Source organism: Homo sapiens, chromosome 12, assembly GCF_000001405.40.
Source record: "Homo sapiens chromosome 12, GRCh38.p14 Primary Assembly".
Lineage (NCBI taxonomy): Eukaryota > Metazoa > Chordata > Mammalia > Primates > Hominidae > Homo > Homo sapiens.
Window position 1 is genome coordinate 54,279,320 of NC_000012.12, and position 27,610 is coordinate 54,306,929.

At 47.9% G+C, this 27,610-nt stretch overlaps 3 protein-coding genes across 10 annotated transcripts in view, besides 14 other annotated features; 1 reads left to right on the forward strand and 2 right to left on the reverse strand.

The window, feature by feature from the left end:
* Positions 1–803, reverse strand: part of CBX5 (chromobox 5) — a 49,181-nt gene extending 48,378 nt beyond the window's left edge. The window contains exon 1 of the mRNA NM_012117.3: positions 689–803. The gene's annotated coding sequence lies outside the window, so the exon portion shown is untranslated. The remainder of the gene's footprint in view (positions 1–688) is intronic.
* Positions 166–255: an enhancer, noted in NCBI's record as "active region_6437". NCBI's record gives its function as "activates an Ori minimal core promoter by ATAC-STARR-seq in GM12878 lymphoblastoid cells {active_cell/tissue: GM12878}" and the evidence as "EXISTENCE:reporter gene assay evidence [ECO:0000049][PMID:35858748]".
* Positions 166–2,686: a biological region, named in NCBI's record as "CRISPRi-FlowFISH-validated NFE2 regulatory element 2". NCBI's record gives its function as "regulatory_interactions: NFE2".
* Positions 202–2,502: a transcriptional cis regulatory region, noted in NCBI's record as "promoter|chr12:54673305-54675605 region (GRCh37/hg19 assembly coordinates) targeted for CRISPR interference". NCBI's record gives its function as "negatively regulates NFE2 gene expression in K562 cells {active_cell/tissue: K562}" and the evidence as "EXISTENCE:mutant phenotype evidence [ECO:0000015][PMID:31784727]".
* Positions 408–1,167: an enhancer, noted in NCBI's record as "H3K27ac hESC enhancer chr12:54673511-54674270 (GRCh37/hg19 assembly coordinates)". NCBI's record gives its function as "activates a minimal SCP1, AML or CMV promoter by ChIP-STARR-seq in primed H9 embryonic stem cells {active_cell/tissue: H9 hESC(primed)}" and the evidence as "EXISTENCE:reporter gene assay evidence [ECO:0000049][PMID:30033119]".
* Positions 686–735: an enhancer, noted in NCBI's record as "active region_6438". NCBI's record gives its function as "activates an Ori minimal core promoter by ATAC-STARR-seq in GM12878 lymphoblastoid cells {active_cell/tissue: GM12878}" and the evidence as "EXISTENCE:reporter gene assay evidence [ECO:0000049][PMID:35858748]".
* Positions 1,026–1,115: an enhancer, noted in NCBI's record as "active region_6439". NCBI's record gives its function as "activates an Ori minimal core promoter by ATAC-STARR-seq in GM12878 lymphoblastoid cells {active_cell/tissue: GM12878}" and the evidence as "EXISTENCE:reporter gene assay evidence [ECO:0000049][PMID:35858748]".
* Positions 1,126–1,185: an enhancer, noted in NCBI's record as "active region_6440". NCBI's record gives its function as "activates an Ori minimal core promoter by ATAC-STARR-seq in GM12878 lymphoblastoid cells {active_cell/tissue: GM12878}" and the evidence as "EXISTENCE:reporter gene assay evidence [ECO:0000049][PMID:35858748]".
* On the forward strand, positions 1,407–7,768 carry HNRNPA1 (heterogeneous nuclear ribonucleoprotein A1). 3 transcript variants are annotated; one of them, NR_135167.2, is made up of 11 exons: positions 1,407–1,503; positions 2,067–2,183; positions 2,476–2,622; positions 2,771–2,981; positions 3,075–3,167; positions 3,254–3,346; positions 3,481–3,555; positions 4,493–4,648; positions 4,939–4,998; positions 7,343–7,413; positions 7,634–7,768. NR_135167.2 is itself a non-coding variant. In NM_031157.4 (11 exons), exons 1-10 carry the CDS (start codon positions 1,489–1,491, stop codon positions 4,992–4,994), a joined length of 1,119 nt encoding a protein of 372 aa, NP_112420.1. In that variant the 5' UTR covers positions 1,407–1,488; the 3' UTR covers positions 4,995–4,998; positions 5,230–7,768. The 3 variants fall into 3 exon arrangements, 2 of the variants coding, with proteins under 2 accessions (NP_112420.1, NP_002127.1); NM_031157.4 differs by adding an exon at positions 3,760–3,915 and having other exon boundaries at positions 5,230–7,768; NM_002136.4 differs by having other exon boundaries at positions 5,230–7,768.
* Positions 1,928–2,686: an enhancer, noted in NCBI's record as "NANOG-H3K27ac-H3K4me1 hESC enhancer chr12:54675031-54675789 (GRCh37/hg19 assembly coordinates)". NCBI's record gives its function as "activates a minimal SCP1, AML or CMV promoter by ChIP-STARR-seq in primed H9 embryonic stem cells {active_cell/tissue: H9 hESC(primed)}" and the evidence as "EXISTENCE:reporter gene assay evidence [ECO:0000049][PMID:30033119]".
* Positions 12,792–21,696, reverse strand: NFE2 (nuclear factor, erythroid 2). Of its 6 annotated transcripts, NM_001261461.2 has the most exons (4): positions 21,482–21,696; positions 20,828–20,957; positions 15,816–15,985; positions 12,792–14,062 (listed from the first exon to the last, which is right to left on the reverse strand). In NM_001261461.2, the coding sequence occupies exons 3-4, from the start codon at positions 15,927–15,929 to the stop codon at positions 13,055–13,057; spliced, it is 1,122 nt and encodes a 373-aa protein (NP_001248390.1). In that variant the 5' UTR covers positions 15,930–15,985; positions 20,828–20,957; positions 21,482–21,696; the 3' UTR covers positions 12,792–13,054. The 6 variants fall into 6 exon arrangements, with proteins under 6 accessions (NP_001248390.1, NP_001129495.1, NP_001387294.1 ...); NM_001136023.3 differs by lacking the exon at positions 20,828–20,957; NM_001400365.1 differs by lacking the exons at positions 20,828–20,957; positions 21,482–21,696 and adding an exon at positions 18,445–18,629.
* Positions 16,322–16,862: a transcriptional cis regulatory region, noted in NCBI's record as "promoter|chr12:54689425-54689965 region (GRCh37/hg19 assembly coordinates) targeted for CRISPR interference". NCBI's record gives its function as "positively regulates HNRNPA1 gene expression in K562 cells {active_cell/tissue: K562}" and the evidence as "EXISTENCE:mutant phenotype evidence [ECO:0000015][PMID:31784727]".
* Positions 21,468–22,442: a transcriptional cis regulatory region, noted in NCBI's record as "promoter|chr12:54694571-54695545 region (GRCh37/hg19 assembly coordinates) targeted for CRISPR interference". NCBI's record gives its function as "negatively regulates COPZ1 and HNRNPA1 gene expression in K562 cells {active_cell/tissue: K562}" and the evidence as "EXISTENCE:mutant phenotype evidence [ECO:0000015][PMID:31784727]".
* Positions 21,468–22,583: a biological region, named in NCBI's record as "CRISPRi-FlowFISH-validated COPZ1 and HNRNPA1 regulatory element". NCBI's record gives its function as "regulatory_interactions: COPZ1 | HNRNPA1".
* Positions 21,843–22,583: an enhancer, noted in NCBI's record as "NANOG-H3K27ac-H3K4me1 hESC enhancer chr12:54694946-54695686 (GRCh37/hg19 assembly coordinates)". NCBI's record gives its function as "activates a minimal SCP1, AML or CMV promoter by ChIP-STARR-seq in naive H9 embryonic stem cells {active_cell/tissue: H9 hESC(naive)}" and the evidence as "EXISTENCE:reporter gene assay evidence [ECO:0000049][PMID:30033119]".
* Positions 24,242–24,742: a transcriptional cis regulatory region, noted in NCBI's record as "intergenic|chr12:54697345-54697845 region (GRCh37/hg19 assembly coordinates) targeted for CRISPR interference". NCBI's record gives its function as "positively regulates HNRNPA1 and NFE2 gene expression in K562 cells {active_cell/tissue: K562}" and the evidence as "EXISTENCE:mutant phenotype evidence [ECO:0000015][PMID:31784727]".
* Positions 24,922–25,442: a transcriptional cis regulatory region, noted in NCBI's record as "intergenic|chr12:54698025-54698545 region (GRCh37/hg19 assembly coordinates) targeted for CRISPR interference". NCBI's record gives its function as "positively regulates expression of HNRNPA1 and NFE2 and negatively regulates expression of COPZ1 in K562 cells {active_cell/tissue: K562}" and the evidence as "EXISTENCE:mutant phenotype evidence [ECO:0000015][PMID:31784727]".

Consider the following 27,610-nt stretch of genomic DNA (forward strand, 5'->3'; position numbering starts at 1 on the left):
TGTTCCCCAAACCTCAAGTGGTGAGGGGGCGGGGGAAAAATGCTCAAGTCGAGGAATACAGGAGCAAACTTACGCTTTCAAGGAGGTGTATGGGACTGAGGCCTAAAGGCTTCGTTAGAGAAGTCATCGTGGATAAAACATCCACCCTCACACGCCATTACAGGCACCGACTCCCCTTCCTCACAACCCCAAATCGAAGACCTCCCTCTTTTGGAGAGCCGATTGGACGACTGGTCCCAGCGCTTTCCTTAGGCTGTCCGTCTACTGGTTCCAGATTCGTTCCATCCGTTTAACCGCCCGATCCCGCATTCCCCATTGGAGTCAAACCGCTGCCTCCTGGAGAAGCCCAACCTACCGCGCGCTTCCTGCTCACTGGCTCAGTGAGACGCTGCTCAGAAGGGGAAAACCCGTCTCCCACATTCCGATGGCCCAAGGGCCGATCAGTCGGCAGCTCAAGGCAGACCCAATTGGCCTATACACAAGCCAGTCAAAGTCTTCGGCTGCACAGCTCCAAAGAACCTACGGGGATTAAAACATCCCGCCCCCTGTTCTTCTATTGGTTGGCCCGACCCACCGCTGCCCCTTCACTATCCCCCCACCCCGCCGTCCATTCATTTCACACAATAACGGGCCCAAATGGAGTCAGTTCAAGACCTACTATGGGTAGATAAGACTGTCTGCCACTTACCCGGGATTGAGAGTGATCACTCACGCTAACGTCTGCCCTGTTCCTGTATGGTGAGGCCGCACCACAAGCCACCACCGCCGCCGCCTTCTGCGCAACGCCAACCGCCCGCCAAAACGGATCCTTCCCTGCGCCTGCGCAACCAATCCTGGGACCGGACCTTTTTTCTCCGCCCACTACGCATGCGCAAAGCTAGGACAAACTCCCGCCAACACGCAGGCGCCGTAGGTTCACTGCCTACTCCTGCCCGCCATTTCACGTGTTCTCAGAGGCAGGTGGAACTTCTTAATGCGCCTGCGCAAAACTCGCCATTTTACTACACGTGCGGTCAACAAGAGTTCATTGCAAAAAAATTGTTACCTCCTGGCTGCTTGTCTAATACATAGTGTTAATCATGCTTTGCCAAGCGACTTGACTGTAATATTTGCGCGTGGAAGATTAAAAAGATGTTAAACACCCAAGGTAGATTCAAATGTGAATGATTGGTCGGTTGGCCAATCAGACTGGTTAACAATAACATTACTCGGGAACCAATGGACTCCAAGGGGTGGAGACGGCGTAGAACGACCGAAGGAATGACGTTACACAGCAATGTGGCACCACAGGCCAATAGCAGGGGGAAGCGATTTCAAGTATCCAATCAGAGCTGTTCCAGGGCGGAGTCTACCAATGCCGAAAGCGAGGAGGCGGGGTAAAAAAGAGAGGGCGAAGGTAGGCTGGCAGATACGTTCGTCAGCTTGCTCCTTTCTGCCCGTGGACGCCGCCGAAGAAGCATCGTTAAAGTCTCTCTTCACCCTGCCGTCATGTCTAAGTCAGAGGTGAGTTAGGCGCGCTTTCCCACTTGAATTTTTTCCTCTCCCTTTCCTGAATCGGTAAGATGCTGCTGGGTTTCGTTCCTTGCACCAGCCCATTCTACAGTTCCTTCGGTCGCTGCCACGGCCTACCCCTCCCAAAGTTCAAGTCGCCATTTTGTCCTCTTGATCGCCATGAGGCCGCTCTCCGCCAACCATGAGTTATCATGCGGGACTCGTTACTCGTAGCAAAATTCTTAGGCACACAGGATCTTTGTCTTTTTTTAAACCTTGCCTTGGTGAGCGAGTTTTCTAAAGAGCGATTAGTCCCATTGTGGAGATGCACCCCTACCGCCCAAGCCTTTGTTGCGCGTGCGTCGGAAGGCGACTAGGGACGCATGCGCTTGCGATTTCCTAGCACTCCCAACTCCAGCATACGGCCTCCCTTGATAGGCAGAAGCACGTGTCTTGTTGCGACCTGAACGAACAATAAGTGCTAGGTACACAGTTGGTGTCTAGTTTTTCTTTTCCTCGATGGAAATTGTTTCGTGTTGTAGCCCATTTAACACTTCCCCCTCCCCCCACTCTAGTCTCCTAAAGAGCCCGAACAGCTGAGGAAGCTCTTCATTGGAGGGTTGAGCTTTGAAACAACTGATGAGAGCCTGAGGAGCCATTTTGAGCAATGGGGAACGCTCACGGACTGTGTGGTAAGATTTGGAAGGGACAAAGCAGTAAAACAGCCGATTTCCTTGGCTTATCTTGGTGCAGTCTTCTCCGAATGCTTATGAAAGTAGTTAATAGCATTATAGTTAGAGCTTTGTTGGCAAAGGAACGTCCTGCTTTGATTTTAAAAGCTACCTCTTAAATCTAGGGTAGTGGGAAACTGGACGACTTTTTATAAAAGGCTGGTGTAAAGTTTCCTATTGCCCTATTCAAAGTTAAAATGACAAAAGCTTTTGCGGTCAGACTTTGTGTTACATAAATTAACACTGTTCTCAGGTAATGAGAGATCCAAACACCAAGCGCTCCAGGGGCTTTGGGTTTGTCACATATGCCACTGTGGAGGAGGTGGATGCAGCTATGAATGCAAGGCCACACAAGGTGGATGGAAGAGTTGTGGAACCAAAGAGAGCTGTCTCCAGAGAAGTGAGTGGGTTTTTTTTCTTCTTCTTCTTAAACTTACTTGGATATGTGCTGCTATGGACTTAAGATTCGGGAGTTTTCTAAACTTACCAAAATTTTTTATTCGAGTATAGGCTTTGCTAATCTAAACCTATGGTTTTTCTCCTATTAGGATTCTCAAAGACCAGGTGCCCACTTAACTGTGAAAAAGATATTTGTTGGTGGCATTAAAGAAGACACTGAAGAACATCACCTAAGAGATTATTTTGAACAGTATGGAAAAATTGAAGTGATTGAAATCATGACTGACCGAGGCAGTGGCAAGAAAAGGGGCTTTGCCTTTGTAACCTTTGACGACCATGACTCCGTGGATAAGATTGTCAGTAAGTATCAGATAGTGGCATTTAGTAAGGGTTCCACAATCTGTATGGCATTCTAAACCCTGATACCATGTTGTATCTATGTTTTTTTTTTAGTTCAGAAATACCATACTGTGAATGGCCACAACTGTGAAGTTAGAAAAGCCCTGTCAAAGCAAGAGATGGCTAGTGCTTCATCCAGCCAAAGAGGTATGCTTGTTGCTTAATTAAACCTTAAAGGTAACTTTGAGTTACTCCAGTATGAATGATTTAATGCTTAAACTTCATGTCTTAAGGTCGAAGTGGTTCTGGAAACTTTGGTGGTGGTCGTGGAGGTGGTTTCGGTGGGAATGACAACTTCGGTCGTGGAGGAAACTTCAGTGGTCGTGGTATGTATGGTTTATCTACATGTAGTTCTGACTTCTCACCATCTTTGCTATGAAGATTTTACAGTACGGGAACTGCATTCAGAATGTCACTTTAAGTCCAAGTCATACTTAAAACTTGAAACTTTTTCTTACAGGTGGCTTTGGTGGCAGCCGTGGTGGTGGTGGATATGGTGGCAGTGGGGATGGCTATAATGGATTTGGTAATGATGGTAAGTTTTTTAGGAATAAGTAGAGAAAAATTCCTGGCAACCTGGATCTTTAGAATAGGTTAGTAGAGACTAAAATTCTGGTGCATGTCAAACTCAACTTTGCCCATAACACGCATGCTGTGAGCAGGCCTTCAGCCGTTACACTTGCACAAGTTTTCATTGTCAAATACTTTTGTCTTATTGAGAAGAATTGTATTCTTGTAGGTGGTTATGGAGGAGGCGGCCCTGGTTACTCTGGAGGAAGCAGAGGCTATGGAAGTGGTGGACAGGGTTATGGAAACCAGGGCAGTGGCTATGGCGGGAGTGGCAGCTATGACAGCTATAACAACGGAGGCGGAGGCGGCTTTGGCGGTGGTAGTGGTAGGTATCCAGTGATCCAAGTACTTGGTGTGACAGCTAGATTAGCCTTTTAGAGCTTGGGTTCTGGTGCTGTTGAAGCATTGTGTGGTACACTGCATGGTATATTAAAAACAAATGGGCTTGCTATGCTACCTCCTCCTAGCTTTAAGCTGGGGCCGCCTCACTCCCAAATAGTAGAGATAAGTGGATAGTGTTGTCTTTGAGTTAGATTAGTATCATAGAAGGATTTAGTATTTTAACTCCTTTGGGACCTTAGGCGCTTAGTTGATGTATCCAAGATACTTCTGCTTGCTGTGGCCCTGGATCCGTGAAGGCCTTCAAGGCTGAAGGGTATGCTTGTGCCACTCTGAAAATCTCTTTATTTTATGTCATGGTGAGTTAGGCCAGTTTTCTTTGTATTACTGGATTATTCAACTGAATGCCTTTCCCAGAGAATGAAATGCAAAGATTGGAGTCACCATAGTTTGGGAGAAAGGAAGGCTGATAACTCAACCTTATTTTATTCTGACTGCTAAACAGAATTGGAAACTAACATCATCCTCAGGTAACAGATAAAGGCCCTCTTTCCCATTCATAGGAAGCAATTTTGGAGGTGGTGGAAGCTACAATGATTTTGGGAATTACAACAATCAGTCTTCAAATTTTGGACCCATGAAGGGAGGAAATTTTGGAGGCAGAAGCTCTGGCCCCTATGGCGGTGGAGGCCAATACTTTGCAAAACCACGAAACCAAGGTATGGTATCTATGTAATTTTGGATAATGTCAAAAGAGTGTCTGTAGCTACTGCTGGGAAGAAAGCCCTTTAACTGCTATGTCTGGGCAGCAAAACGTTTATAGTTTAGAACCTTCAGAAAGTGATAATTTGATCACAAATTAGAAAAATCATGGGACCTCTTTACCACCTCCCTTGTAGTAGGGCCATTTTTAAATGGCCAGACACTTGAATTTAACTTTTATTATCCCAAATATGAAAACATTACTGTTGGCACTTTGAAACTTTAAAAGAAAAATTGTACTTTTCAGGTGGCTATGGCGGTTCCAGCAGCAGCAGTAGCTATGGCAGTGGCAGAAGATTTTAATTAGGTAAGTAAGCACCTTTTTGTGTGTTGACATAATTTTTTAAATTGCTGATGAACCCAATAACCCTAATGTAGCTGAGCAGTGCAACATAGTTAACATTATAATTGCAGTAATTGTGGATATAAAGTTAATATTCAGATCAGCAAAATTTGTGGGAAACAAACTTGATATTGGATTGTAGCCTTGAGTCTTAATATGTTTAGATTAACAACTTTATTCCATATTGTTCAACAGGAAACAAAGCTTAGCAGGAGAGGAGAGCCAGAGAAGTGACAGGGAAGCTACAGGTTACAACAGATTTGTGAACTCAGCCAAGCACAGTGGTGGCAGGGCCTAGCTGCTACAAAGAAGACATGTTTTAGACAAATACTCATGTGTATGGGCAAAAAACTCGAGGACTGTATTTGTGACTAATTGTATAACAGGTTATTTTAGTTTCTGTTCTGTGGAAAGTGTAAAGCATTCCAACAAAGGGTTTTAATGTAGATTTTTTTTTTTGCACCCCATGCTGTTGATTGCTAAATGTAACAGTCTGATCGTGACGCTGAATAAATGTCTTTTTTTTAATGTGCTGTGTAAAGTTAGTCTACTCTTAAGCCATCTTGGTAAATTTCCCCAACAGTGTGAAGTTAGAATTCCTTCAGGGTGATGCCAGGTTCTATTTGGAATTTATATACAACCTGCTTGGGTGGAGAAGCCATTGTCTTCGGAAACCTTGGTGTAGTTGAACTGATAGTTACTGTTGTGACCTGAAGTTCACCATTAAAAGGGATTACCCAAGCAAAATCATGGAATGGTTATAAAAGTGATTGTTGGCACATCCTATGCAATATATCTAAATTGAATAATGGTACCAGATAAAATTATAGATGGGAATGAAGCTTGTGTATCCATTATCATGTGTAATCAATAAACGATTTAATTCTCTTGAATGAAATGACAACTGTATGGATTTGGGACTGGCAGAGATTTGGACTTTCCCTACCCACTCCCCCTGATAATAATGTTGAATGCTTCTATCACAATTCAAGTTCAAAGCTCTGCCAGGGAATAGAAACTAGCTGCTGGCTAATGCCGCTCCATAAATCCGCAGATTTGAAGTGTCTGGGAGGCCTTTTAAAAATAACTAATATCAGAAAGCATTTTAATGAACGTAAAGATAGGCTTACATTAAAGGAAAACTGCAGTTTGACTGGGTTCTGGTTGGGTGGGCCTTCAGAGGTTCTATCAGTTAACTATACTAATTAATTTGGAGATTCAAACCATACCAATAGAAACTAAATTTTTCTACATAATTTCATGTTAACTGCAGTTTCCCTTTATGGCACAAGGGGTCACACAACCTACCTAAAATGTTAATTGTATAGAAAATGATTTCTAAACCTTTAACAGTTAATATCCAATAATGTGTTATTTGTACATAGATTCTTTTGAGCCTTACCTTTGGTGCTCTCTCAATTTCAGTGCTATTGTACCTAGTAGCATAGAGATTTGTCTATCAATAGGACTGTATATTCCATCCCATGGGTGTGTTGGAAGTTTGGGGAGGAGGAGGGTGGTGGGAGGTGGGTGGGAGGTGGTGGTGGGTGGGAAAGCATGGGTGATAGTTCCATGATACTGGCTGAGTTTGCAATAGCAGGTGGAACCCTAACTATTGAGGGAGTTTGCAGATACCTCAGGATTCGTGACAATGCCTTTAAAGATCCAGGAGAGATGTTCAGCTACTAGGAACTGCTAGCAAGTATAGCGCGAATGGCTCCGAGCTCAGACACTCTACAGCTGAGAGTAGACACTTGTGGTATGTGGAGTACAGATAAGCCAGGGGCAGGCCACGGCACGCTCCATGAAAGCTAGGAGGGAGTGAAATATCAGTGATCATCGCAAGGAAGGAGGCAGACAAGAGTAAGGCACACCTGACTCTTAGGACTAGCAGTCAGAACCAGGAGGAAAGGTTTTATTGCTATGCGGGTAGGTAAGAACAGATTTTACTTACATCCATATAGTTACTTAAAGTCCAGTTTTCTGTTAAACATTTTTCTTAATATATTGAGCCAAAACTAGTCCAGTTAAGCTGAACTTGGTTTTTCTGGAGATGAATTGTTTTAAATTGACACCCTATTGATGGCTCCCAGTTGAAGGAAGTGAGCACATTATTTGTACTGTGAATATAAATTTTTGCCCTTTTATTTATCTTCCTTTGACCCATTTCCTTAAAATAATGGCTCAAAGTAATAGACTTCCCCAAATGGTGGGGGGATGGGTGGGTTATTAATGGGAGGTATGGGGGGTTTAGCTTGAGATGGGACTTGGTCTTAGAGCTAGTTCTAAAGGTTGTTTACTTTTCTAGGGAGGAGTCTGCTACTAGTCTTATCAGCTCTTAAAAACAGAAACTCATCTGTCCAAGTTCGTGGCAGAAAGGTAAGTTTTTACAAATTAGTGCTCAGCAAAAGAATGCCCTGCGTTCCCAAAGTAAAAGAATGACAAGCTGTACCTTAAACCAAAACACTTCGTAATCTCATCCAATTGCAAAAAGAGTTATTAGCCAACCAGGTATTCCCAGTAGTGACAGTGGATATAACTGTGTAGTCATTCACCTCTGCTTATATGAATACTTTACAACCTCTTTTGCCTTTTGCAGGAACGTCCTTGTGAAGACCTTTATCTGAGCCACTGTACTTCGTTATCACTGCCATGCAGTTTACATGAGCTGTTCTGCAGCTCAAATTCCATTTTGTGAATGGGTTTTTTTTTTTAATAAACTGTATTTAACTTAGTTCTGCTTGTTTTGTCCTCCTTTGTGATATCTATGGTTAATAACATGTTGAAATTCAGGTTAGAGAGGATATGGTTGATTCTAATGTGAATTTCTATATTTAGATTCATCCCATTCAGCTTCATGGTTTAATGAAAATAGAAATGGGTTCTCACTACAGGAGTAATTCTTGGCTCACTATAAGTAAACTTTACTATTGATCCAATTGAGCATGTCCTTTTTCTAGCTCCCCTGGCAAGGGAAAATCAAGTTGTAGCACTGCCATTGAGCTCAGTATGTCTCTATTGGGACTTACGCTCACCATCTGTTGCAGAAGGACATAATGGATTTCATCTTTGGCAAACAAGTTGGGCTTATTGGCCAGCTGTCTCATACTTCAGTAGAATTCTCAAGCCAGGAGTAAGAAAGTGAACTGAATGAGAGGCAAGACTTAGCCTCTCAAAGATAGCCTAAAAATGTAAGGACTATTTTGGAAGCAATAATTGTACCCTCTAGCAAATGCTTAGGTTCTTGCGTGTGTGTGTGTGTGTGACGAAGTGTCCCTCTGTCACCCAGACTGGAGTGCAGTGACACTCTGCTCACTGCAACCTCTGCCTCCCAGGTTCAAGCAATTCTGCCTCAACCTCCCGTGTAGGTGGGACTAGAGGTGCCTGGCTAATTGTATTTTTAGTAGAGACACAGCGTTTCACCGTATTGCCCAGGCTGGTCTTGAACTCCTGGCCTTAGGTAATAAACGCCCACCTTGGCCTTCCAAAGTGCTGGGATTAGAGGTGTGAGCCACCGTGCCTGGCCACTAAACTGTTTCTGTTATTTTCAAGGAAAGTTTATCCAGCCTCAGTTTTGAGCCTAACAAAAGTGGAGGTAGGATTCTTGGGAAATTTTTGCCTTTTAACACCCATGCTGTTTTGAAACAACTGTATATGGGACTAAGTTCCATTAGCCTTTTGATACTTGGGGGAAGTAATGTCAGGGGTCTCAGTTTGTGACTTGGCATTTGCTAGAGGTTTTTATTGTAGACAATCAAATTTCCTTGAAGGGAAAGGAAAACTCCTAAGGATAGTTTCCTAAAAGCATTCCTATTGAAGAGAAACATTGTTTCAGTCCATGTACTTTGCTATATACTTTATTATAATACTGTGAAAAGTAAATTCCATTATTTTCTAAATGAGGAAATAGGCTGAAGATAAAATCCTGTCCCAAGTTCCTGCAACCACTGGATCATATAACTCAGATTGCTCTATTTTCAAACTATGTTCCACCTTGTTTAGGTCAGCACGCTGAACAAGTATGTGTGTGTATAAGACCTCACTAGTGATTTTCATGAGAGCAGGGGGATCTGACGTCTCTTAGGTAAACTAATTAAATTTCTGAACAGCTAGCCCAAGCCCCTGCCTTTGCAGCTTGAAATGTGGAAACAAGATGGCCGGGCGCGATGGCTCATGCTTGTAATCCCAACACTTTGGGAGGGCGAGGCGGGTGGATCACGATGTCAGGAGTGCCAGACCAGCCTGGCCAACATAGTGAAACCCCATCTCTACTAAAAATACAAAAATTGGCCAGGCGCGGTGGCTCATGCCTGTAATCCTACCTGGGAGGCCAAGGTGGGCGGGTTGCCAGCCTGGGCAACACGGTGAAACCCCGTCTCTGCTAAAAAAGTACAAAAAAATAGCCGGGCGTGGCAGCGGGCGCCTGTAGTCCCAGCTACTCAGGAGGGTGGGGCAGAAGAATTGCTTGAACCGGGGAGTCGGAGGTTGCAGTCAGCCGAGATCGCGCTACTGCTCTCCAGCCTGGGTGACAGAGCGAGACTCTGTCCCCCCTGCCCAAAAAAAATACAAACATTAGCGGGACATGGTGGCGCACGCCTATAATCGCAGCTACTCTGGAGGCTGAGTCAGGAGAATTACTTGAACCCAGGAGGCAAAGGTTGCAGTGAGCCGAGATCGTGCCACTACACTCTAGCCTGGGCGACAGAGCAAGACTCCGTCTCAAAAAAAAAAAAGAAAGAAATGTGGAAACATTGCCAGGTACAGTAGCTCAACACCTGTAATCCCAGCACTCTGGGAGGCCTAGGCGGGAGGGTCACTTGAGGTCAGGAGTTTGAAACCAGCCTGGCCAACATGGTGAAAAGCCCGTCTCTACTAAAAATGCCAAAATTAGCTGGGCATGGTGGCAGGTGCCTGTAATCCCAGCTACTTGGGAGGCTGAGGCAGGAGAATTGCTTGAACCTGGGAAGCGGAGGTTGCAGTGAGCCAAGACCCTACTGCTGCACTCCAGCCTGGGCGACAGAGCGAGAGACGCTGTCTCAAAAAAAAACAAAACAAAACAAAAAAAAACAATGTGGAAACATTGGATGCCTCATGCCTGTAATCCTAGCACTTTGGAAGGCCGAGGTGTGCAGATTGCTTGAGCCCAGGAGTTGGAGACCAGCCTGACCAACATGGTGAAACCCATCCCTACTAACAAATATTAGCCAGGCATGGTGGCATGCGCCTTTAGTCCTAGCTACTCAGGAGGCTAAGGTGGGCTGAGATCAGCCCACTGCACTCAAGCCTGGGCGACAGAGACTCCATCTCAAAAAAAAAAGGAAGTGCTTCAAGTTGTTTTTGTTCCCTAAACTTAGGCTAGAGACCACACTCCATATCTCCCTAATCACTGTGCTGCTTTTAGGTCTCAGTATCTGTGGTGTCCATTTTTGTTTGAGACAGTCTCGCTCTGTCGCCCAGGCTGGAGTACAGTAGCATGATCTTGGCTCACTGTAGCCTCGAACTCCCAGGCTCAAGCAATTCTCTCACCTCAGCTTCCAACATAGCTGGGACCACAGGCATATGCCACTGTACCCACCCACTAATTTTTTTTTTGTAGAAACAGGGTCTCCCTATATTGTCCAGGCTCGTCTCAAGCTCCTGGGCTCAAGCAGTCCTCCCACCTCAGCCTGCGGTGTCCAGATCAGAACTTGGATGTAAGGTTTTAATGTTGGAATGGAGCTAGTAAAATTGAATAAAAAGTAAATGTAAAATCTTCTGAAAAGGTAAGCTGTGTAATTCAGTGACTGGGAATACTGGAGACTATACAACTCCAAGCAAGGAGATTGTGTCCTGTCAGGGAGGTTTGACTGGACTTTAACTGATATGGGTAAGGAATCTGAAACTTAGTGAATTATATTCTGTTTCAAGAAGAAGCAAAATAGACTAATAAAAAATATCTAGGCTGCGCACAGTGGCTCACGCCTGTAATCCCAACACTTTGGGAGGCCGAGGCAGGCAGATCATTTGAGGTCAGGAGTTCGAAACTAGCCTGGCCAACATGGTGAAACCCATCTCTACTAAAAATACAAAACAATAGCCAGGCATGGTGGCGGGCGCCTGTAATCCCAGTTACTCAGGAGGCTGAGGCAGAGAAGGTGGAGGTTGAGGTTGCAATGAGCTGAGATCGCGCCACTGCACTCTAGCCTAGGCGACAGAGCGAGACTCTGTCTCAAAAAAAAAAAAAAAGCCAGGCGTGGTGGCTCAAGCCTGTAATCCCAGCACTTTGGGAGGCTGAGGCAGGCAGATCACCTGAGGTCGGGAGTTCAAAACCAGCTTGGCCAACATGGAGAAACCCCATCTCTACTAAAAATGCAAAATTAGCTGGGCATAGTGGTGGATGCCTGTAATCCCAGCTACTTGGGAGACTGAGGCAGGAGAATCACTTGAACCCGGGAGAAAGAGGTTGTGATGAGCTGAGATCACGCCATTGTACTCCAGCATGGGCAACAAGAGCGAAACTCCGTCTCAAAGAAAACAAACAAAAAAATCTTTAAGGATCTAGAAAAGGAGGGCCCCAAAACAAGAATTGGGTAGTGTTGGCCGGGCACGGTGGCTCACTCCTGTAATCCCGGCACTTTAGGAGGCTGAGGCGGATGGATCACCTGAGGTCAGGAGTTCAAGACCAGCCTGACCAACATGGAGAAACCCCTGTCTCTACTAAAAATACAAAATTAGATGGGCATGGTGGTGCATGTCTGTAATCCCAGCTTCTCCGAAGGCTGAGGCAGGAGAATCACTTGAACCCAGGAGGTGGAGGTCGCGGTGAGCCAAGATCGTGTCATTGCACTCCAGCCTGGGCAACAAGAGCAAAACTCTCTTTCAAAAAAAAGAAAAAAGAAAAAAAAAAGATCTGGGTAGTGTTTGTCTAACATAATCAGAGAAAACGTTTCACAGGAATAAATAGTTTACTCCACTGTGGAGCAGGTTTTACCAAAGCTTCGGTGTGAAATCTTCTGAAATTTTGATGTATAAATTCCAGCCAAGAACAGCCCATTCAGTCTTCTGAGAGAACTCTGGCACATTAGGAGGACCCAGGCTGAGAGGTAAGCAGGAGGGGAAGAAAAAAAGAAAGGCCTATGGGCATCCTGGGCTTTTTTGTGCTGGGAGAATTGAGAGAAAAGAGACGTAAACATCAGGAACCTTTGCACAGGGTGTCTAGTCAGTTTGGACAGCTCTCCAAGCTCTACAAATAGGGCACCACCAGGGAGTGTGGGGTTCTTCAGATCATCCATGGCCTCTGACTCTGAAAAGGAGGTGAAGGTGGTAGATCCCCATACTGCTCAAGCCCAGATTTTTTTTTTTTTTTTTGTAGATGGAGTCTCGCTCTGTCACCCAGGCTAGAGTGCAGTGGCGCAATCTCAGCTCACTGCAACCTCTACCTCCCGGATTCCAGTGATTCTCCTGCCTCAGCCTCCTGAGGAACTGGGATTACAGGCGTGCACCACCACACCCAGCTAATTTTTGTACTTTTAGTAGAAATGGGGTTTCACCATTTTGGCCAGGTTGGTCTCGAACTCCTGACCTTGTGATCTGCCCATCTCGGCCTCCCGAAGTGCTGGGATTACAGGTGTGAGCCACCATGCTCAGCCTCAAGCCCAAATTTTATGGTACCTCTCATACAGAGCTCTGGGGAGAATGAAGTGAACTTGGTAAGATTCAAACAGATAATTATCTCAGCTTCCACCCTCCCTCAAGAAGGAAGACACAGTGAAAAGCCATTTCTGTAGCGCACTTTATAGACCAAAGCTTAGACAAGGTGGAGGCTAAAGACCTGAGGAGCCGAGTCAGGGAAGACAGATTCCAGCCCTCCCTCAAGGCAAGCCTCTTTGAACACACCTTGGAACTTCCAAACACTTGTTGCCATTGTCATCCTCTTCTGGTCTAGAGAACTCAGCTCCTTCTGGGACTCAGGGTTGGGGAGTACCTTTATCAGAAGGGAATGAAGGAAATCCCATCAGCAGTTCCACCCCTCTGGGCCAGCTCAGTCTGTGGCCTCCATCTTGGTCCCCCGGGGCACAAGGAAGATGGTCCCATCGGCAGCCTGTTGCAGCGCGTACTCTTCAGGAGAGTAGCTGTTGCCTGATTCATCCCGAAGGTGCTGGAAAATGTCACGGTACAGCTCTGTCAGCTGTTGGCGCATGACCTCCAGGGTCCGGTCTGCCTCCCCGCGGGCCCTGAGAAGCCGCTCCCGTTCATTGGTCAGCCGCTCCAGCTCCCGCTCCAGCTGCACAATGGTTTCCAGCTTCCTCTTGCGGCAGTTCTGGGCTGCCACCTTGTTTTTGCCCCGTCGTCGGATGTCCCGGACTAGCGCTAGCTGGCTCTCTGTCAGCGGGTACCTTGCCAATAGCTCATTAAAGTCATCTACCGGCAAGTTGACAATCTTGTCCGTAGGAAAAGGAATCTTCATGGCCAAGGCCCGACGTTCATCCCGACTCCCTGCCTCCCCCCGTGCAGTGGGCTTAGCCCGCACAGGGCCTGAGGAGGGCTCTAAGGCCAAGGGGGTCTCAGCAGCTGGCAAGGTATAGTTGGAGTGGGCCAAGGAGTTGGGCATGAGTGAGTAGGGGTACTCCACTGGGTACATCTCTACATATTCGCTGCGCCGCCGACCAGCCTCTGTCCCCTCCAGCTCAAGAGATTCAGCATCGCTATAGTTGAGGGATAATCCTGAGTCGGATTCTGGGTCTTCTTGGGGCTTAGGTGGCCCTGCTGGCAGCCCAATGTCCAGGAGGGCTAAGGGGTCTTGGAGCGGCTCACTGAGCAGGCCTGAGAGGCTCAGTGGCTTGGAGACTGGTATGGCCATGTTGCCATAGGAGTATGGGGGATCTGGGACATGGGATGTGGATGCTGGGAGCTCATAAGGTGGTGGAGGAAGTGGGAAGCCAGAATCTGGGTGGATTGAGCAGGGGCAGTAAGTTGTGGGTGGTGGAGGTCCAAGGTATGGAGCTGGGGCTTGGGGCTCAAATGATGGCTCACTTGGAGCATTCAGACCCTGCAAGGAAAGACACAAAGAGATTTGGAGACAGACTAAGGAAGAGAAACCAACACTCTCTCAGGAACAAGCTGGATTCTTCTGAAAGTCGCAGTGAGGTAGTAACAAGGAAACAAAGTTGCCACAAATCACGGGAAGCTTCCTGCAAAGTTATGATACAGTTGTTGCAAGAAAAATGCAGCTTAAAGCCAGGAATGGTGGCTCACACCTATAATCCCAACACTATGGGAGGCCAAGGCGGCAGATCACCTGAGGTCAGGAGTTCGAGACCAGCCTGGACAACATGGTGAAACCCCATCTCTGCTAAAAATACAAAAATTAGCTGGGCATGGTGGTGAATGCCTGTAATCCCAGCTACTTGGGAGGCTGAGGCAGGAGAACTGCTTGAACCCCGGAGGTGGAGGTTGAAGTGAGCCAAGATAGTGCCACTATCCAGCCTGGGCGACAGAGCAAGACTCCCTCTCAAAAAAAGAAAAAATGAAAAATGCAGCTTTAGCAAGAATGGAAGTCACTGAGGTTGGACTGCAGAAAAGACTACCTAACATTGGAACAATTATGAACTCTCCTTGGAGAAGCTCTTACTGGGTTGAAATGGCTCATGTTCGGCCAGGCATGGTGGCTCAGGCCTGTAATCCCAGCACTTTGGGAGGCCAAGGCGGGCGGATCACAGGATCAGATCAAGAACGTCCTGGCTAACACGGTGAAACCCCCTGTCTACTAAAAATACAAAAAATTAGCTGGGGTGGTGGCAGGCGCCTGTAGTCCCAGCTACTTGGGAGGCTGAGGCAGGAGAATGATGTGAACCAAGATTGCACCACTGCACTCCAGCCTGGGCGCCAGAGCGAGACACCGTCTCAAAAAAAAAAAAAAAAGAAATGGCTCATGTTCCTTTATTTCCTTCAGGAAGTCAAAGCCTTTTTATCCAAGATGACCCCTCAGAACCCTTTCCTGCTGCAGTTATCTAGGGTCAAAGGGTCAAGTTCAGATCCTGGCCATGCCCCAGATGCCCAGCAGAGGGAGCCGCTGTGTGGGAAGAGGGCCTAGGGCAGATCCTGAGGGTGCTAAGCATGGTAGCAGGGTAGTAAAAGGGGGGTGGCTGGGGGCTAAGAAGCACCTTGGGGAGCCAGCACAAGCTCTGCCTTCTCCTCTTCAGTCCCTCTGTCCCTGCCCAGGTGCAGCGAGAAGTAGAGAACATGCTAGAAACAAGGCCCCCAACCTACATCAGGGAGCCACCCTGCTCCAGCCCAGCTGGGGACAAAGGCATCATTGTCAAGCCAACAGACACCCCTTTGTCCAAGTAGCAGGAGGAGAGGACCCTGGCATAGTCCGACTCCCCTTCCTGAGGCCCCTGAACTACTGCTCTGTTACCTGGGGTAAACGGGCCCAGTTGCCAAGGGCAGGCGGAGGTAATGAGGGAAGAAGATGGCAGGATCAGAGAGGCAGGTCAGAAGAGAAGAAGGTGAGCACGGGAGGGAGAGCAGGAGGTGGGGTAGAGAGAGATGTGAGTCAAGTGGCTGCTGAGAGAGCCTACACTCCCAATCAGATCATTCCCTCCCCACCACTGCTCCTCCACTCCTCCTCCTCAACGTTCCTCAGTGTCTTCCATCCGGATCTTTCCCTTCCTTTCCCAGTGCCTGGAGCATTACCAGCCCTGAGCCCTGCTTGCTCCTGCCCTCTGCCTCAGTCCTGGCCAACTCCCTGCTTCTCTCTTCTCCGACACACGGCCTCCCCTGCCCTATCCCCCCTTACTCACCTGCAGCTCGGTGATGGACATGATCTCCTGCCAAGTCAGTTCCATCTCTCCTAGCTCTGAAGTGGACAGCTGTATCACCCTGTTCCTGCTCTGCTGGGGAGGACACGGGGACATCCTACTGGGCCAGAGTCTGGTCCAGGTTCCCGGAAAGCCCAGATGGCTCTAGAAACCTGTGTCAAAGGAAAAGAGGTGTTAGAGCTACACCTGCTAGGGTCAGCAAGTTTGCACTACCTCCTTGGAGGGGCTCCCTCCAGCTTCCCCTGAGGGAAGGAGAGACCGCCTCCTCCCCATCCTCACTCATGCTGGATTCATCAATCCCTTAAGATGGAAAGTCTTTTCCTGTGTTGTGATCTCCACCTCGCCAACTATGGCCACAGTCAGTTCCTTTGGTAGCACAGGAGGTCTTTACCTTTTTTCCAGGCAAAATGCCCACTCTTTTCCCTAATACTTTTTACTCCCCCAAACTGTTTTCCTGGCTAAAGGCAGAGTCAGATCTTCTGTTTTTCTGTTTTGCTGTGTTTTGTTTTCCATTTTCTAGGGCAACATCAGGGGTCACCCTGCTTTCCTCCTCTGTCCTCAGTTTTACGTTCTCAGCCTTTTCTTTCCAAGATGATGACAGTATATGCTTGAGGATCCCCAAGAACAAGTTGTGGAAAGAGGCAAGCAGACAGCCCCTCCTCCTCTCCAAGATATGGCCCAGGCCTGGTGGTTGATAGCAGCTCTGCCCTCTCCTCCTATCCTGGCCCTGGGCTCCCCTGCCTGGGCCAGATAAGAGGTTTATCAGTTGCAGGCAGCAGAGGCACAGAAGGAATGGGCTCTGGAGACACTGGACCTCTGTCCTGTGTCCTCACAGGGTCATTTGGGCCATACCTTAACCCATACAATCAGAAGTCTTTCCTCTTCTGAGGTAATATAACCTTAGTAAAGACTTAGTAAGCACTTGTTAAGAACTGTGCTGGTATTGCAAGCTTAGTTTATAAGATTGGTTTTCATCGGGCGCGGTGGCTCAGGCCTGTAATCCCAGCACTTTGGGAGGCCAAGGCAGGTGGATCACCTGAGGTCAGGAGTTCGAGACCAGCCTGGCCAACATGGAAACCCCGTCTCTACTAAAAATACAAAAATTAGCTGGGCGTGGTGGGGTGGCACATGTCTGTAGTCCCAGCTACTCGGGAAGCTGAGGCAGGAGAATCACTTGAACCCAGGAGGTGGAGGCTGCAGAGAGCCGAGATCGCGCCACTGCACTCCAGCCTGGCTGACAGAGTTAGACTATGTCTCAAAAAAAAAAAAAAAAAAAAGACTGGTTTTCACAAAGATTCTAAAGGTACATCAGAAACTGAGACTGAAGCTGATAAATAATAGCAGGATGAGGTCCAGAACCTGACTCTACCTGACTATAATGTCTTCTAGGCACCTTCCCCTCCTGCCCCTGTATCTTCATACTCCAAACCTCTACTGGAAGTCTACATTCATCAGTTCTTTCTGTGGAGTGTCAGTCTCTCTTTCTCCTTCTGGGCAATGTCTCTTTAGAGCCTTGAATATACACTGCCCTCCAGTCCCTTTTCTTTTGACCTGGGTTCTAGTTGCAGCTCTGCCACAAAGCAGCAGTGTGATGTTGGGCAAGCCATCTCACTTCTCTGGGCCTCTGTTTCCTCATTTGTAAAACCAGGGAGTTGGACAAATTGACCTTGGAGGTCCCTTTCTGCTTGGATAGCTTAGAATTCTCAGCAAACCCTCACCCGTGTCTTTATCTTCTTCTGTCAGTCCCTCTCCTCATGCTACCTCCCTATTCCCTGACACCCACCTTCCTTGCATCTGTTTTCCCTGCCGTCAGCAAGAGATTCCAAGTAGATTTGGCAAGGTCTTCCTGATCTCTACGGTCAGACATTGTGTCTATGTGCACGCACACAGACATACCGTGCCATATCAGTATAGGGAAGCAGGCTAGGATGAAGGAAACATGGGAGAGGGGAAGCACTTTGGGAGGCCAAGGTGGAAGGATTGCTTGAGCCCAGGAGTTTGAGATCAGCCTGAGAAACACGGTGAAAACCCATCTCCACTAAAAATGCAGAAATTAGCTAGGCATAATGGCACACATCTGTGGTCCCAGCTACTCAGGAGGCTGAGGTGGGAGGATCACTTGAACCTGAAAGGTCACGGCTGCAGTGAGCCATGATTGTGCCACCGCACTCGAGAGCCTGGGTGACAGAGCAAGACCCTGTCTCAAAAAAAAAAAAAAAAAAAAAAAACGGCCAGGTGCAGTGGCTCACACCTGTAATCCTAGGACTTTGGGAGGCTGAGGCAGGTGGATCACCTGAGGTCAGGAGTTCGAAACCAGCCTGGCCAACATGGTGAAACCCCCATCTCTACTAAAAATACAAGTAATAGCCAGGCTTGGTGGTGGGCGCCTGTAATCCCAGCTACTCAGGAGGCTGAGGCAGGGAGAATTGCTTGAACCCGGGAGGCGGAGGTTGCAGTGAGCTAAGATCGCACCACTGCACTCCAGCCTGGGCGACAGAGTGAGACTCTGTTTCGGAAAAAAAAAAAAAAAAAAAAAAAAAGAAAAGAAAGAAAAAGAAGGACAGAGGATAGGATTGTATGACCTCAAATTGCATGACCTTAGACCACTCACCACAAGGATGGCCCATCACAGCAATTTAATATGGAATCTTCTCTTCGACTTACCACAAAATTAGTAGGAACTACAAATGATCCTTTTGAAAGAGTATCTCCCCTAGCCCTTGCCTCCATCCCCTTGTTTTACTGCCATCCCCAGAGATGGGAGTTGGTGTAGGCAACTCTGCCAGTGGGCAGAGTGGGTGGGGTGTTTATGTCTGTCCAGGATGCCATTTCAACACCGGAACCCCACCCTCCTCCACCCAGGTTCTGGCGGAAATTGCCCAAAGGCAAAGTGAATGGAGAAGGGGTTTAGGAGGCAGAGACAATGACTCTTGCTTCACAGTTCTTTACTCACCCCAATCCCCCCATTTGTCTCTCCTTTTATCTTCTTGGATCTGACTCTAAGGTGCAGTACAAAGATCCTGCCCTAGGAGGCCAGAGACCTAGGTTCTCTGGCACTTAAGATACAAGACCTTGCTACGCACGGTGGCTCACGCCTGTAATCCCAGCACTTTGGGAGGCCAAGATGGGAGGATTACCTGAGGTCGGGAGTTCAAGACCAGCCTGACCAACATGGAGAAACCTTGTCTCTACTATAAATACAAAATTAGCCGGGCATGGTGGCGCATGCCTGTAATCCCAGCTACTTGGGGGGATGAGGTGGGAGAATCGCTTGAACCCAGGAGGCGGAGGTTGTGGTGAGCCAAGATCATGCCATTGCACTCCAGCCTGGGCAACAAGAGTGAAACTCCACATCAAAAAAAAAAAAAAAAAAAAAAAGATACATGACCGTGGGCAAATTGCTTCTCATTCAGTCCCTTCCATTAAATGGAGACAGGACTAGGAACCTAATTGCTATTAAAGGCCATAGGTTGCATCTAGCTCAGGGAGTCACAAACTTCATTGTGTGCCACATTCACCTGGGCTACATGTAAAGACACAGATTCCTAAAAGCCACTTCAAATCTACTGAATTGAATCCATAAACCCAGGAATCAGCATTTTAAAAGTGCCTCAGTGGCCAGGTGTGGTGGCTCACACCTGTAATCCCAGCACTTTGGGAGGCTGAGGTGGGTGGATCACCTGAGGTCAGGAATTTGAGACCAGCCTGGCCAACATGGCAAAACCCCATCTCTACTAAAAATACAAAAATTAGCCAGGTCTGGTGGCGCACACCTGTAATCCCAGCTACTCAGGCGGTTGAGGCATGAGAATTGCTTGAACCTGGGCGGTAGAGGTTACGGTGAGCTGAGATCATGCCACTACACTCCAGCCTGGGCAACAGAGTAAGACTCTGTCTCAAAAAAAAAAAAAAAGAAGGGGAGCAAGGGGAGGCAGGAGTTTGGGGGAGAGAGAGTTGAGGAGAACCTCTGGATCCATTCCAACCAGCTCTTGGGTGCAGTAGCAAGTTTGTACCAGGTGGCAGGTGGAGCAGGATGCTTTTCCCTAGACGCTCAAGGATGGATGGTGTTCTATACACCAGGCATAGGGTCCCTCTGGGTTTCCAGAGCCTACCTTTCAGAGGACAGCAGAGCTGGCAGGCAGTGGGATAGATCAGGGAGATAGATAGAATTGGATCAAATAGAACACCATAGAGGGTATAGAAACTGGGGAGATACTGGGAAAGTGAAGTGGGCTTCCCTGTGTTCCCTTTCTTTTACAATAAGAAGCTCCCACTTTACAGTTTAGCTTTTGCATTTTGGGGTCACACCACCATCTTACTCCCACTGGGTTGTCTGTTCCTTCTCTTACTCCCCAACATTATGGATTAGGTAGAAATGGGGTTGTCACCAGGGACTAAAGTCCATCCTCCTTACTCTTAGCCTGGTGGTCCTACCCAGAAAGATTTTTATCATAATCCCTAAGTACTCACAGAATGATACGGAGCTTCATGATTAGGAATACAGAGTGAGGACTATTCGGAGAGGGATGATGGAGAGAGGAATACATTTGGCCTTAGCTGCTGCCCCAGGGCTCTTAACTTCCTTAACGAGGGGGAACGATGAGAGGGGGCTTGCCTCAGGATCCCTTTTCTGAGGCTTATTTGACCACCTCACCTCTCCAGGTGTCAATAGGTGCAGTGAAAGGATGAGGAGGGATTAGTAAAACTTGGGGTATTGGTTAACCGGTAAGCAACCTATTTAGAAAGATTAGGGAGAACTCCCGAAGAGAGAGAGACACACAGAGATGAGACAGAATGAAGGGGAAAAAAAGGAGGGAGAGAGATTTAAGCATAGTGAGCTCAGTGCCCTAGGGACATGCATGACTCAAACAAATGTGTGAGAACAAAGAAGAGGGGGACGAGTTTCTGCTATTGTGTCACTTCATCCCTGGACCCCAAACTCCAGTCCTTTGGTACCGATGTCTAGGGGATCCCAGCCCCAGCAGTTCTGATACCTCCTCTCTTCTCTTCCACTGCTTCCCAAGCCCCTATTTCCCAAGCAGCCAAGAGTTCCAGTTAGAAGCAACTATGCTGGGGTTGGGATGTCTTCCTTCTCCCTCCAGGTCCAGCTGATCTCTACTGCCCCTGGGCACAGAGAAGAGAAAGGGCAAAGGAGCCAACAACCCAGAGGCAATCTCCCATCCAACCCCCGCACCTTGCAACACTTCTCAGAGGTTCAGATATCCAGTGTTTCCAATTCCTCAGCTTTCCCTAAACCTTCTCAGCTGCCTAGACAGGGCAGAGTAATGGAATGGAGTTGGGGAAAGGGTAGTCTATTGGTTCCCTCAGGGTAGCCCACCAGTTGAAGGATTCCTCCTGGCTACTCCCCAGCCCCTCAGCGGTGCCTTGCCTCTGGAGACCCCTCTCTGATCCCCATTCACAGCCTCCACCCCAAGGATCCCAGAGCACCCAAGAAACCACTTAGGTCTTCTCCTAGAGGAGTTCCCAAATATGTCAGATTCCTAAACCAGGGGCAATCTAGAAAGTCTGAGGTCTCCTAGGATACCGAAAGTTGGTTATTTTCCCCCCTCACCTCCTTCACCCCCCAGCCTGCCCCTCGGATCTCACTGGAATCCGCCCCCCCCACACACACCCTGCCTTTCAGGCACCTGTGGTGGAGTCACAGCAGGGTGAGGAGAGAGATGAGGCTCCCGGTGTTGTCTCTGGGGAGGCTGAGCCTGAGCTGACACTGCTGGACGAGGATCCCGGCTACCTTTGAGAATCTGCGAGGACCGCGCCCCGCCCCCGGGCCATTGCTGAGCGCTGAGTGTGGAAGCTCAGGCTGAGCTGAGCACAGGAGCCCCAAGCAGGCGCACCAGCGTCTGAAGCCCTCGGCCTGAGTTCTCAGTCCTTCCTCCAACCCTCCCCTTTCCCCGTGGCTCTCCTCTCCTCCTGCCCCTTTCGGCCAAGAGAGGAAACTTGAGCCCGATGTGGTTTCTGCCCACACCCCGCCCCCACCTTGCTCCTGGCCAGCGGGGGCACACATGGCTCCAAGCCTCTCCCAGCCCTCCTTTTCAGCCCAGGAGTCCAGCCAGGTCTGCGTTTCTCCCATGCATTTGACGAATTCCAACCTGATGGTCCACTCGAATGTGACCTTTAAACTTTATACAGGTTGTCGTCGCCTTGTGTCCCCACGGCTCTCCTAGGGACAGGGAAACTGAGTCATATCAAGGTGGAAGGCAGCTGAAGGTAAGGACCAGGTGTCTAGCTTCCCAGCTGTCTAGGCAGTTGGACGTTTAGGGTATAGCCTTCATTTACAGAAAACCTGGGCTCTGGGAACAAGGGCAGGGGAACTATTTGGAGGAGGAGGGGCAACTGACTGCTTTGATGTGTCCTTTCACCTGTAGCCTTCTCCCCTCCCCCCTCAGCCTCAGAAGTCCCAGGACAAAGGATTCTTTCTTGGCCAGGTTTTTGTCAGTGTGTGAAGGGAGTTAGGTGGGGGGCCACCCAGCAGGGAGATTATTCACCTCCCGTAAAGGGGACCCCAGGTGTCCTTTGTCCTCCTTTCTCCCAGGCAAAGCACCCCAGCCACATGGCACCCAACTCTGTTAGGCCAGTAAGTACCCTTATTCATCTTTTTTTTTTTTTTTTTCCAGAGAGGGGCTCACTCTGTCTCCCAGGCTGGAGTGCAGTGGTGTGAACATGTTTCACTACAGTCTCAAACTCCCAGGCTTAAGCAATCCTCCCACCTCAGCCTCCCAAGTAGCTGGTTCTATGGGTCAGTGCAACCATGCCCAGCTAATTTTTTTTTTTTTTTTTTTTTTTGGTAGAAGTGGTGTCTCACTATATTGCCTTGGCTGGTATTGAATTCTTGGGCTCAAGCAATCCTCCCCTCTTGGCCTCCCAAAGTGCTGGGATTACAGGCATGAGCCACCTCACCCAGCCCACTTATTCATCTTTTTGCCTGCAAGCTACACCACCAAAGCCCCAGGTCAAACATCTTTCTCCACAGACTGTGAGAAAAGAGCCTTTCTTCCTCCTAATTTGTAATGGCTTTCAGCTCTATATGTCTAGCTTCAATCCTGACATCTGCAGCTTACATTTTTTCTTCTTACAATGTTCAAGTTAAATTAGAAACATCTGAAGACTGGGGAAGCAGATAGGTGCCACTCTGGAGTAGGACTGGCATTCAACCAGCATGCTCTGATGGGATTGTATTTGCTGTTAAAATAATGAAAATGTTCAGTCCTAGTTGATAAAAGGCAGCTGCTGTGAGCCCTCTAAGTGTCCCCCACGACTCCACCAATAGCCTAGTTCTCCTCTAAGATCCCCAACAACCCAGCAACACAACCATGGAAGTAAAGAGGCAATGCTGGTACCATAAGGAGCCTCCTGTGCTGCCTGCTTCTGCTGGAATTGGCCAATGCCCATGCCAAACCTATGGTTAAATGCTTTGAATTCCATCCCTTTTCCAGTAGATCATGACTGCACATGCATGATCAAGGTAAGACAGGAGGCAATCCAATGCCTTCATTACATGTTACATGTGGGTTCAGAATCTCTTCAGACTTGGGCATGAATCTGGGTCACATATGTAGGCTCTCAGATATAATTCTCTCATTTGCATATTTATTTGGGCCACTCAGAGGGGATGAAGAATGGTAACAGTCACACTTGTGGCTGACTATATAATGATATCAGGTTATAGATAGTCAACAAACATTTATTGAATAAGAATTATCAGTTCAGGATACTGGTGTTGCATAGACAATTATGGGTAACACAAGGCTCATCATTCATTCATTCAACAAATATTTATTGAGTGTCTACTATGTTTTACATCCCAGGAACACAAAGATGAGCAAGACAGTCTGTATCTTCAGTCAAGTCTAGTCAGGGAATTACATTAATAAGGTGTATATAATAAAATAAAATAAAATAGGCCAGGCACGGTGGCTCATGCCTGTAATCCCAACACTTTGGGAGGCTGAGGCTGGCAGATCACCTGAGGTCGGGCGTTCGAGACCAGTCTGACCAACATGGTGAAACCCCTTCTCTACTAAAAATACAAAAATTAGCCAGGCGTGGTGGCATGTGCCTGTAATTCCAGCTACTCAGGAGGCTGAGGCAGGAGAATCACTTGAACCCAGGAGGTGGAGGTTGCAGTGAGCTGAGATCGTGCCACTGCACTCCAGCCTGGGCGACAGAGCAAGACTCTATCTAGAAAAAAAAAAAAAATTTGAATTAAAAAAATAAAGGTGTATATACAGTGCTATGGAGAAGAAGAGGAAATAAATTCTGCCCAGTGAAATTCAAGGAAGGCTTTACAGAGGAGGTGACAATTAAGTTAGGCTGTGGAGAAAAACTAGGAATTTCCCAGGCAGAGAAGTGGAAAAGAGTATTCCAAGCAAAGATGTGAAGGCATGGAGGCATAAAATACAGAGCAATACTTTGGGTTTGCTAGGTTGGGGTATGGGATGGGAAGTAGGAGAAGATAAGCCTGGAAAATTTGACAGGGGCTAAATTATACAATGTCTTGAGAGTCAATCTAGGGAGAGTGTACTTTATCCTATAAATAGTAGGGATTCATAGAAGTGTTTGAGGTCATCTACTACTTATTTGAAGGGACAGACATAGTCAAGTAGGGTGTTCTAAGTGAAGAGACAGCCTTCCTTCAATAAGGTGACTGGCTAGGTGGAGATGTCTCTCCCATCTCACCCTCACTCCTCTCCTACAGAAAAAGAGGACTTCACTGTGGTTCTCAGGCTGTGTTCTGGAGGCAGAACACCCTTTACAGCCCTCAAAGGAGGGGATGGTTCCTTTAGCCCCTTCCTCTCAGATTCCTGAAATCCAGACCAAACACCTTTCTACCTTAAGTCTCCTTTGTTTGATTTACAAATTGCAAAACATTAGGAGCCAGCCTGAATGGGTTGGATAGTGCCTAAGACTTGGTAAAGCAGGGATGTCTAAGGTTTTCCTATCCTCAAGATTCTCCCACTTCATCAAAGGTAGCAGAGACAGAATACGATACGGAGAAAACCACGGCCACATATCTTTACTATTTTATCATTCTCCACGTATGCTGCTAACCCACTCCCTAAAAGATTCACTTCTTGTCACACCTGGTCAACCCACCCCTACCCTCACCCTCATAACGTGTGTGTACACCACCAGCAGCAGCAGGTCAAGCCACAAGCAATGTTGCCAAACACCCCACTGAGTTATGCAACCAGCTTCCCGAGAAGGGCGGGGTGGGTAGAGGTGGAACCAGGGGAGGGCCATGGGTCCCAGAGGGAGCTGGCTGCCTTGCCTGCTTGCCTGCTGGTCTGACCGCAGTGGCCCCAGAGGGTGGGGGCAGGGCTGGCCCTTTATCAGTGCCCTGCAGGGTTGCACCCAACACCCCCTGGCTTCCTCTCTCAACAGACGGAAAGGGGAGGCAGCCACAGGGGGCAAGGGGAGGGCTGGGCGTTATCCTAGGCAGCAGAGCCGGGCGGTTACCCCGATGCTTGGGGGAGGTGGTAGAGGGGTCTGGGACCAAGGAATAGCGAGGCCCCTCTTAGCGGGGGGCCCTGGTATACACAGAGGCTCAGATGGTGGACTAGATTTTCTGAAGCATATAACTCATTGTTCCTTGTGTTCCAGTTTGGGTAAGGATAGGATTTAAAAAAGTCTTTGAGGAGGTTTCTTTCCTCAGATAACAATTTTTAGACGATTGACTCAGGAGTTAAGGGGAGACTGAACCCCATTCTCAGGACAAAAGGGTTTGGGGCTTTCAAGGGAGTTAGATACGACTGAGGTTCCCAGACCCTGGCATCTAAGAGTTAATGCCCTTTAGCAGAGCCTAGTACTAACACCAAAATGGATGAAGGCTGATAGATAAACCTAGTATAGTCCCAGAAGAAATAATCCCTGGGGCTTAATTCTACTGTATTTTATTATTATTGTTATTATTATTATTATTATTATTTTGAGATGGAGTCTTGCTCTGTCACCCAGGCCGAAATGCACTGGTGTGATCTCGGCTCACTGCAGCCTCCGCCTCCCGGTTTCAAGCGATTCTCCTGCCTCAGCTTCCCAAGTAGCTGGGATTACAGGCGCCTGCCACCACGCCCAGCTAATTTTTGTATTTTTAGTAGAGATGGGGTTTCACCATGTTGGCCTGGGGCTTAATTCTAAATCTAGAAAGAGAAGTAGTTTCACGGTGCATCATAGATCTTGAGTCTTATTAGTGGGCTTGAGGCTGGGCACAGTGGCTCACACCTCTAATCCCAGCACTTTGGGAGGCTGAGGAAGGAGAATCATTTCAGCCTAGGAGTTTGAGACCAGCCTGGGCAACATAGTGGGACCCTGGTTCTACAAAAAATTAAAAAAAAAATAGCCGGGCATGATGGCATGCACCTGTACTCCTAGCTACTCAGAAGGCTGAGGTGAAAGGATGGCTTGAGCCCAGGAGGTTGAGGCTGCAGTGAGCTGTGATTGTGCCAGTGCACTCCAGCCTGGGTGACAGAGCAAAACCCTGTCTCACAAAAACAAAATAGGCCGGGCGCGGTGGCTCACGCCTGTAACCCCAGCACTTTGGGAGGCTGATGCAAGCGGATCACCTGAGGTCATGAGTTTGAGACCAGCCTGGCCAACGTGGTGAAACCCCGTCTCTACTAAAAATACAAAAATAAGCCGGGTGTAGTGGCACATGCCTGTAATCCCAGCTACTCAGGAGGCTGAGGCAGGAGAATCACTTGAACCTGGGAGACAGAGGTTGCAGTGAGCCGAGATCATGCCACTGCAATCCAGCCTGGGTGACAGAGCGATATTCCATTTCAAAAATAAATAAATAAATAACATATAAAATGAAATAAAAAGACTTGGGGGCTGGGCATGGTGGCTCATGCCTGTAATCTCAGCACTTTGGGAGGCCGAGGCAGGTGGATAACTTGAGGTCAGGAGTTCGAGACCAGCCTGGCCAACATGGCGAAAGCCTGTCTCTACTAAAAATATAAAAATTAGCTGGGTGTGGTGGCGGGCGCCTGTGGTCCCGGCTACTTGGGAGGCTGAGGCAGGAGAATTGCTTGAACCCAAAAGGCGGAGGTTGCAGTGAGCCGAGATCGCACCATTGCACTCTAGCCTGGGCAACAGAGTGAGACTCTGTCTCAAAAAAAAGAAGACTTGGGCTTGGTGTCGAGTGTGGTGGCTTGAACCTGTAGTGCCAGGTACTCAGGAGGCTGAGCTGGGAAGATCACTTGAGCCCAAGAGTTTGAGGTTACAATGAGCTATACTCCAACCACTGTACTCTAGCCTAGGTGACAGAGCAAGACCCTATCTCTAAAAAAACAAACGAAGAAACTTGGGCTTGGGTCCTGGCATTTATTGGCTATGTAGCCTTGGGTAACCCAACTTTTCTGTTTTTTTTGTTTTTTTTTTTTTTGAGAGGGAGTTTTGCTCTTGTTGCCAGGCTGGAGTGCAATGGCATGATCTCAGCTCACTGCAACCTCCACCTCCCAGGTTCAAGCAATTCTCCTGCCTCAGCCTCCTGAGTAGCTGGGATTACAGGCGCATGCCAAGATGCCCAGCTAATTTTCTGTTTTTTTTTCAGTAGAGATGCGGTTTTATCATATTGACCAGGCTGGTCTCTAACGCCCGACCTCAGGTGATCCACCCACCTCAGCCTCCAAAGTGCAGGGATTACAGGTGTGAGCCACCAACCAAGCCCGGCCAACCTAACCTTTCTGAGCTTTATTTCCTTTCTGAGCTTTATTGAAAAATGGAGACAATAATGAGAATGCCCACTTAGCGAAGTTGTT